The 9,799-nt window shown below is 36.6% G+C and overlaps 1 protein-coding gene across 3 annotated transcripts in view; it reads left to right on the forward strand.

The window, feature by feature from the left end:
* Positions 1-8,714, forward strand: part of PRRX1 (paired related homeobox 1) — a 76,654-nt gene extending 67,940 nt beyond the window's left edge. For all 3 annotated transcript variants that reach the window (XM_006711388.4, NM_006902.5, NM_022716.4), the window contains one exon: positions 5,341-8,714. In XM_006711388.4, coding sequence (XP_006711451.1) covers positions 5,341-5,479 — 139 coding nt within the window. In that variant the 3' untranslated portion in view covers positions 5,480-8,714. The remainder of the gene's footprint in view (positions 1-5,340) is intronic.

A 9,799-nucleotide genomic window follows, 5' to 3' on the forward strand; every position in this document is an offset into this window, starting at 1 on the left:
TTTGTAGGTTACAGGACGGGGTTCGGAAGAACTACGTTCTTGTCCTGGCTTCTGCTGCTCCTCAGGCCAGTCAGATCATTGCTCTCTTATGCAGCTTTGTATCTAACATGAAGCTAGCAATAATCTCCCTATTGCTTATTTCACAGGGGTGTTTGGAACCTATCGATAAGCAGTGTGCGCTTCAAAAAAAGTCTTGCAACAATAGAAAGATACAAGAGGCTTTATATATAAAAGTATTTCTAAAATGAAAAGTTAAACATAGCAGAAAGATCACTGAACATACAGTACAAACGGAAAGCTTACCAATGAAATGTGCAAGTGTGTTCACTTTAAGAGATAAATATACGTATTAGAAAATCAACTTCTGAATTTCAAAACAGAAGTTAGAAATAGAAGTTAGTTATTTAAATCACAAAAGATCCCTTTCCAAAGAATTTACCAGATCTCTTTTTAAAAGTAAATTTCCCTAGGAAAACTGGTATTACATTTTATCAGGTGAAGCAAGTATGCCTCCGTTGTTCTTGCACTGACAAAAGAACAAACCCGAGACTTTCTGCAACTTCTATGCATCACAGTCTTGAACACCGTAACCCCTACAGTCTTTGAAAAAATCCTGAGCTGGTGAAACCCAAGGATTTCAGGAAAACTCATAGACTTCTCGGCTGACAGATTTGTCTTTAGGGTGAAATTGTAAACATCTTGTCATCATTTGTTCAAAGGGCCAAATAGAAAACAAAGAGTTGAAAATAGAGTCAGGTATTATTTTTTTCCCAAGCTATCAATTGTTTTGTGATTTGTGGGACTTAACACTATAGGTGTTTAGAAAGCAGAGGGGCAGTTGTCCATACGTTTCCTGGCTTTAAAATCGTAGTACGAATAGTATTTTCCATACTTCCTCAATGTTTGACAATCATTTTAACACATTTTTTTTTCCTCACAACTTTCAGGGTAGGTTGAAATGATAAAAAATGATTTGTCCCAGTGAAAACAGTACTCCACCTCTGCTAGTGGTTAGCATTCTGCTCTCTATGGCTGTGTTGCATCTGTTAGGAATCTCCAAACAAGTAAATGGAAACATTTGAAGCTGATTTAAATGTGTCAGCTCTGTGTAAGTCTCAGGGCAGATTAGCTGAATCAACAGATGGGGTGCAAGCATTTATTATTAATCTCTAATTTCTCAATGCACTTTATTCAGTAATGTGGTTTCTTGGTCACTGACACAAAGAACTTAACTAAAACTAACTAAAAATGGGGCTTTAGCCAAAGCCTAAAAACTCAGTCCCAGAACTTATGTCTGTACCCCACTTCCAAGAATAAGTGGGTTTTACTTAGAAGGCAAGACCAACAGGCAGGATCTCTGGTTGTTGTTAAGCAGGCTTCTGGTTGTTGTCATGTGCTTAATCTGTACAAATCACTTAGCTTCAATCTCACCATTTTACCCGAGCAAGCTTAATCCTGTATAGGAAGGACTGGTCATTTTACATGTTCCGAATGGCCCTATAAATTGGTTGAAAACAGTTAATTACCCTCTTTGGACTTTTAAGAAAACATTTCAGGGTTCTCTTTCTTTTCCTAAAGCAGAACGTCAGAAGTCTCCGTGACATGGAAAGCAGATGGTCACAAACAATTTCATATTGGCAGCCACTCAAGGCTCTCTTGCATCTGTTGACACTTTAGGAGGCAGGTCCTCTGCATCTTACTTCTAATGCCATTTTTGAAGAATGACTAAGATACTCTTAGAGTACTCACTCACTAATTCTGTCTTTTCTGACTTGTAATACAAGTTTTGCTTTTCACTGGTATATCCAAGGACTGCTCACTGCTTGCCTGTATGGCACCCTTAGCTCAAATTGAGAAGCTAGATCCATGTCAAACTACTGGAAAACAGACTTGCAATTATTTAGTATGTGTACAAAATATTATTGGAATCCCTATTTGTAGGATTACATATTCTAAACATTTGTTAAGAGGCTGTGAAATAAGATGGCTTTGGTTCTTTTATCCTACTTCTTGCGGCTATAGGATGCTGAAACAAGTTAAATCAATTTTGAAAGTTTATACATTTCCTAAGCATTTATCAAGGGAAAATATTATCACCTATCAAGCTCCTAGGGAATTGCTAAATTCATTCATTAAAAACAACTACTTGTTAATCCACTAATTTGAGGGATACCTATAAGGCATTGTCACAGACTTGCCTCTGGTGGTGTTCTTATACAATGCCACCATATAATCAGACGAGGGCACTGTTCTTTACTGTGGAAAAGCAGGCTGCCGTTTATGTGAAAAATGTGCCAGTGAATATCCAATCTCCTGTGTAATAGATGATCTGAATTCCCATTAATTTGTTTTTGAGATAGAAAGTGCATTAACATTCATCTCATTTGGGATATTACAGTCTTGCCTACATTCAAGAGAGAAACTCAGTATTTCCAAGAAATGTGTTACCCTGCTAAGTCCTCAGACTAGAATATCAGGTGGTAAAGCTAGTTGACTCTGAAATCACTACAGCAAAAACGGTTATGCAATAGACAACTTGTAATCGTTATTATAGGAGACATTTCTGGGAAATAGCAATAGCATCTTCAGTAAACTAAAATAATCTCCCCAAGGTTCTAATCTCCCTTTTTGGCTAAAGAGATGGAATACAGCTTTGATTATCTAAGAAAGGGCACATTTCTGTTACATAAGACTTTGCTTGTCCAGAATCTCAAAAAACACATCATCTTTCAGAAAATTAGACCAAGTACTTAAAAGCACAATATTCTATGACAATCTACAATTTGGGATGAGAAAATTTTTCTTTATACTCTCTCATAAGTTTTAGCTTTCTGTTTTCAGAAGCCATTCAAATTTGTTCTCAATACTTAGCAAATAATACAGACAACTCCTAATTCCAGCTTCTCTTCTATGTGTTTACAATTTCACTAATTGTGCATCATCTTTAGGGCTTAATTCTCTCACAGAAACCTGATTAAGAAAGGTTGACTTGGTTGATTTTATAATAATCTATGACTTAGGTACATTTCCCAAATCCAATAGTCTTTTTTTCTCAGATACTTAGATCTTCGGATTCTTGGTATACCCTAGAAATTTTTTGAATATAGGTTTTGTGGGTTTACATACATTTATGGTAAGGTCTTGAATGGAACTGTGAACTAAATGATAATACATATATGGGCTTTGAAAATAAATGACATTTCTTGGTATATTCTAAAACAAACTTGTCCCACTTTAGTGTATCGTTCTGGTCATTTATCTCACTTCTAACTTAAACCTACCTTAACTGGGAACTCTTCTGCTTCTATCCCTTGGTAGGCAGTGGTTGAAGTGATAGTCTAAACTGTACTAATAACTTGTTCAGTTTTTATTGTGAAATATATTTTTTGATGGATCCAAGTATACACAGTCACCAGCTCCTGCTTTTGTCATGTCCTACTGACTTTGCCCTTTCTATTAAGATAGTAAAATTGGCAGTAAGGACCAGTTCCTATGAATAAAAGCATATTGGTAAGATTTTTTTTTTTTTTTTTTTAGAAATCATTGCTCACAGCAGAATGACAGAAACCAATGACATCGAGCAGGAATCAATTTAATCACACTATATATAGATATTTCTTAGTTATCTGTCTATTCATTGAACACATGGTACTAGATATGGTGTCATTTCTACCTGAGGAAACAGTTGTGAACAAGGCAGATGTGGTGTCTGATCTATGGAGCTTATAGTTGAAACAGTGATAGATACTAAACAAATTATTAACTAAACTTGAATCAAGTGCTAAAAGCAAAAGTTTAGTGTGTTATAAAAGAACGTAGCCTGGTCTAGAGGGTTGAGATCATCTATCATGAAATGATGAGTAAGAGTTAAGCAGGCAAAACTGAAATAGAAGAAGGTAGGATCCTTTTGAAACCTTTCTGAGTCTCCTGTGTCAGAACACATACATGTATGTGTGCACACACACACACACAGTCACCCATACACTTAACCAGGGCTATAAAGATTTTAAATTAAAGATGTATATTTCTGGAAAGACCTAGTGATCTGGGACTCATTATATTTCTTAACTTAATTTTCTTGAGTTAATTATTAGTAACTGAGCTGAAATAGGTTATTATGAGTTTTGACTCCGTGGTGTCCCAAATAAGTATCAATGATATATTCTATTTGTGGAGTAGCTTTACTTTTCTCTCTTTCTGATCTTGTCACTTGATCCCCAGAACCACAAAGTCTTATGTGGCTGACAAAATTCCATTGGAATGCAGGCAACAGAAGAGCACATGTCATTCCATTTATAAGTCTATCTCATTCCAGCCCTGAGTTGAAAGGGATTTTGCTAATCTTAGAAGCAACTAAAAACATTTTTATTGAAGTAAAATATGTATACTTTTAACTATTTAGTAGAAAGACTAATTTGCTATTAAGTCTATGAAACCATTTCTTTTTCCTTTAACAGAGATTCATGGATGCAATTAACAGAAACCCACCAATGATAAATTTCTGCCTAGTGGTGTTCTTAGGTCCTAATTGTAATCTATGACAATGAAAAACAAGTTTAGATTTTTCTCAGCAATGAAGACAGTGAGAAACAGTTACCTCTGAAATCAAGAATGCTGAAAATGGAGACTTTGATAGTTTATCTAGGAGATTTAAACATTTTCAAAATAACTGACCCAAAAGGCAGTGTATGCTATTCAAGTTCTCTTGAGGAGGTTTTAAAATCAAGGCCAGTGGCTTAGTAACCTCTTGATTCAGCAAGCTTGGTGCTATCAACCAGTAAATTAAGAATGGCAGAGAACATATGTTAGGTTGTTTAACTGGTTCTCCAGGCACATTATTTATTATGGTATTTATTATCTAAAATGTGTTAGAATTAAGGTCAGTTATCTAGAGTGAAGGAGCAAAATTCCCTTTAGTTTATTTTCAAATGCTTGTTTCTATTCCCCACTGCTCCCACAGGCTGGGGAGGTAGGCAGGACAAGAGATTAAATACTGTTTTAATAAGTCAGCTGATGAAACACCTGCTATTCAACTTGAGCAACTTTCTTCTCTCACCCCAGAAATAAATCATTACTCACTGTATCCACCACAACAAATACCTCTTCCTCCCTTTCCTCACTCTACACCACTTTCTCCTGCTCTTCAAAACATGACCACTCTTCCCTAAGTACCTTAGACGAATGGAAAGCTGGGGCTGTAAGGGACCCTAGAGGTCATCTAGTCCAAGCCATTGCCCCTGCCTGCCCCCATGCTGAGAGTACATCCATCTGGGGCACAGACTTGCAGCTTTGTGAAACTAATGCCTGTTATTCTCCCTGCTCTCTCCTTTGTCCCTACAGCGCCATGGCTACTTATTCTGCCACATGTGCCAACAATAGCCCTGCACAGGGCATCAACATGGCCAACAGCATTGCCAACCTGAGACTGAAGGCCAAGGAATATAGTTTACAGAGGAACCAGGTGCCAACAGTCAACTGAGGAAAAAAAATAATTAAACAGGCCTAAGAAGAAATCAAAAACCATAAGACACCTATCCTGCTCTGTTATTTCTTCATCTGCTGGGGGGAAAAAGTAAATTACAAACAAACAAACAAAGCAGAACTAAAATATTGGGACCATGGCAGAGAAAAGCAGGAGAGGAGCAAAATGAAAATTAGTTAACAAATGTTCCTCCTCCCTCTGGGATACCACCACCACTTGTTTCTGTGTGTGTTTATTTTGTTTTTCTTTCATTCATGCTTTGCTTAATGTACTCCAGGCTTCTTCAGCTAGGTTCAGCCCACCCACCCCCATGATTGTATGAAGTTTTAAAAAAAACTACAGCAGCCAAAGAAACTATATATATATATATATATATATATATCCAGAATGATTGCCTCTACTGTCCTCATTGACTTGTTTGAACCTTAGTGCCTTACCCTGTCCTCTTCCCAGTTCTCTTTATAGAAGCTCTAGGAGCTTTCGAAAAGCCAAAGTCTTTCTGAAGAATCTGTGCTGGACAGACATAATTCCCTTTCTCATTGTCTCCATCTTTGTTGGTCATGGTAAGGTTTTTCCATCAGCCTCTGAAAAAATAGTTGTGCACAACATCTGCTCACTGGACTGTCTGATCCAATGTAATTGGCTGCGTCTGGCTAATTCTAAGCACTAAAGTCTACATCTAAGCTATAGATTTAAGCTTGAAGCTACAGATTATATCACTATCACCACCACCCCTCACCCTATGCAATCAATCAATCAATCATCTTAAGTTAAAGATATTTGTTGTCTTTGAATGATTTGCTGTCACAGACTATTTGGTAGAAGAAATATTTTTCACCTGAGAGAGGAAGAGAAATTTCTCTAGTAACACAAAGAGTGAGTTCTAAAAGGCATGCCCACATCTCTTTCGTGCCTTAAGGATAGTGAGATGCACACTTATATATATACTGTATATATTTATATATTTATATATATATTTCATATATATATATAATATTGCAAGCTTAAGTTTGCAATTTCCCAAACAATACAAAAAGCAAATTACACACCCTCACCACTGTTCTTATCTCTATAGTGATGAAACATTAATTAGGGATCTTGCTGCTTTTCTTTTTCTACACGAAGTTTTCATTAAAGCCACAGAATAATTGATAGGGCAGCTGTTTGAGAACAGGTCCCATTTTCACATTAGGGCTTTAAATGAATTAGAAACTATTTGAGGCTATAAAAATGTCCTTGAGTTTGGAGCCTGAGCTCTGGTGAAATGCTGATACATCTGATCTATCATGGGAATTGCAGTTAGAGAGAGTAAGGAATACCATTTAGTCATCTATCCGTTCTTCACTTAGCAGGAATATGAAAGAAAGGCACATGTTTAAGAGGAATACCTAAAGGTTTTTCTAAATTCCAACATTTAAAAGGCAATTGTGGGCTATTTTTATTTTTTAATATTTTGAAATAAAGTTTAGTGTCTAGGGCTGGGAGCCAGGACTGATCTTCCATTTCTTTTTCTTTGTTCCCAGCCATGCTTTTGTAACTTGCCAGGTGGACTTGACCAACTACATTACCATGCTGTGCCTCAGTTTACCCATTTGTAAAATGGGATTAATAATACTTACCTACCTCACAGGGGTGTTGTGAGGCTCTATTCATTTGCTCCTTTATTCTTTCCTGTATTCTCTGTATGTCCAGCACTTTGTAGCCATGGGAGGAAAGGGACTATAAAAGTGTACAATGTTAATGGAATGATACGGTACCTGAAAGCCTTGTTTTCTAGTAAGAAAATGCTACCTTGCTGTACATACTTATAACCTTGTATTTGGAAATGAGAAATAGGTTTATATTTTCAGATCTCTCAAAAATCACATCATTTGACCAAAGAATAATTTAAGACACATAGAACAGATTTTTTTAATTTATATTTTCATCCTGACCAGCTTAGTTCTAATAATTTTTAGTTGTGAGTGATTAAAAAACTTTGGATCAATTTTGGTCAAACATGCCAACTTTGTAGTCTGAGTGACAGGCAAGGATTTTTGGGTTTAAGATGCACTTTTAGCACACATTTGTATTTCCCTTGGCATATCAGATTGAGCTAATGGTGATGTTATTTCAATCTAACAGCCACCAATCTGAAATTGTATTTCAAATGTTGATTCTGTAGTTCTTTAAATAATAATGAAGCTCATCTTATACATTTTGCTTTCACCAATTGATTCCTTCTTCTTTTAGCCCACTATTAAAACATTTCTTACTGAATGGTTCATGTAGGCTTGCTGAACAGCACGCATTACTTGCTTCCTGAAGAGTTCCCCCATTCATCCATTTGTCCCATTAGTTGCTGTGGATTATCAAGTTTTGAAGGAACTGTACATCCCAACAGACTGAAACATTCTAAGTGAAATGAGTATAATCCAAGTAACTGGTGAACTTTGGAGGTTTGGAGCTTGAAGAGAATGGCTAAGAAGATTTGAATTATAGGGAGGGAACAGAAATCATACATGAAAAGGTTTTACTGAGAAGGGGAAAACCTTAGATAGAGGGACATGTGAAACAAAATCATTTGAAATTTTGATTCAGACATCCATTTCCAGTGGCAAACAGCAAAGCCTGAACCCATAAACCCAAATGATAGGTGAAGTTGGGTGGTTTTATCCAATGTCTCAAGCAAGCAATGTCTGGGAATATCATAGAGTAACAAGTGCTGGTCAGCCAAAGAAACATTCACTGCTGGTGAACCAATACCATAAGCATGTATTATCTAAGCACTTGATCAAGAAATATACATGTTGTACAAGCTCTCAATTTTGTTCATTTATTATCAAATTTTTAAAATACAAGTTTGGTATGTGATTTGGAAAAGATGCCTTCTGGATCTTAAGCCAGTTGTCAGTGGAGGTCCTCAGGGCTGCAAATGTCAAGACATAACCCTGTTCCTCACCATCATGATACCAGATACAGGTGAATACATAGGAACTATCTGCCTGTGTCCTCAATCTCCCTTCAAACAAGATGCTGATTTGTAGGGTACTTGGCAGGTTAAATTAAACCAGAAGAGGTGACTTAATAAAAAAGGGAATGACATTTAGGGTATAAAGATCTCATAAGAAATGTAATATGTAAATTATATCTTGCTTTATGTTGTAAAATATACATTGTTTGCGCTAGAATAGAAATGATTTCTTTTCAATAAAAAGAAAGAAGGACTCTACCATGTCTTTTGTTATATACATTTAAGCCTGCTGATTCTTTTCTCTTTGAACTTCAAAAACACAGATCTGCTAGAATCTGAGATTACATGCAGAACAGTGAAGGTAAGAAGGGCTTATAGACAAGATAACTTTATCTGAGTGTGATATTATTTTCCATAAAACAGGAAAATAATCTATTTTTCCTCAGAAACAAAGACAATGGTAGGAAGAAGAGGGGACACTTACTATTATAATAGATGAGAATAGAGTGGAACTTTTATGAGAGTTTAGCATTTTCAAAATCAATATCTTTAACATTCACAATACTGGACACCATATGGAAAAGACTTCATATAAGCATGGCTGTTTCTTCTGGAGTAAAGAAATAGAAAAATAAAATTTCTTAAGCATCCATTGTGCATAGCATGGGTGTGTGGTCATGGGGAGGACAGAAAAACTAAATTGTGAGACACAGATGCTGTTTTCATATCAATTAAAATCTGGTTTAAAAAGCAACCCTAGCATGCAAAAATAAGCAACAGTTCAAGATAATATATTAATAAGTATCAAACAGAACAGATAAAAGGAGTTCAGAAGAGGAAGAGAGAGAACATGCTGTTAGTTGAAGTGGGAGACCAGTTTTACAGAGGAACTGGGACTTGAATTTTATCAGCAAGGATCCGGACAGGTGAAGAACAGGTGATGGCTTTTCAAGTGAGGGCATGGAGAAGAAGGGGTGAAGGCAGGGATATAGGAATGAGGAATTTGTATTCAAAGATGTATGGCAAAATGGGCCTGGATGAGATGGAGAGTTAATTTTAAAGTTGAATGGAAGATACTAGAGATGCAAGTTGAGGCTTAATCTTGCAGGGTACCACATGTCAAAGATGTTTGGACTTTTCCTCAGGCCACAGAGATCTATTGAAGGCTTTTGAGCAGAAAAAAAAGCCATGTGAAAAAATGCTACTTTAGGCCAGGCGCGGTGGCTCACGCCTGTAATCCCAGCACTTTGGGAGGCCGAGGCGGGCGAATCACAACGTCAGGAGATCAAGACCATCCTGACTAACACAGTGAAACCCCATCTCTACTAAAAATACAAAAAATTAGCCGGGCGTGGTGGCGGGTG

This window comes from Homo sapiens, chromosome 1 (genome assembly GCF_000001405.40).
Source record: "Homo sapiens chromosome 1, GRCh38.p14 Primary Assembly".
In the NCBI taxonomy this organism is placed as follows: domain Eukaryota; kingdom Metazoa; phylum Chordata; class Mammalia; order Primates; family Hominidae; genus Homo; species Homo sapiens.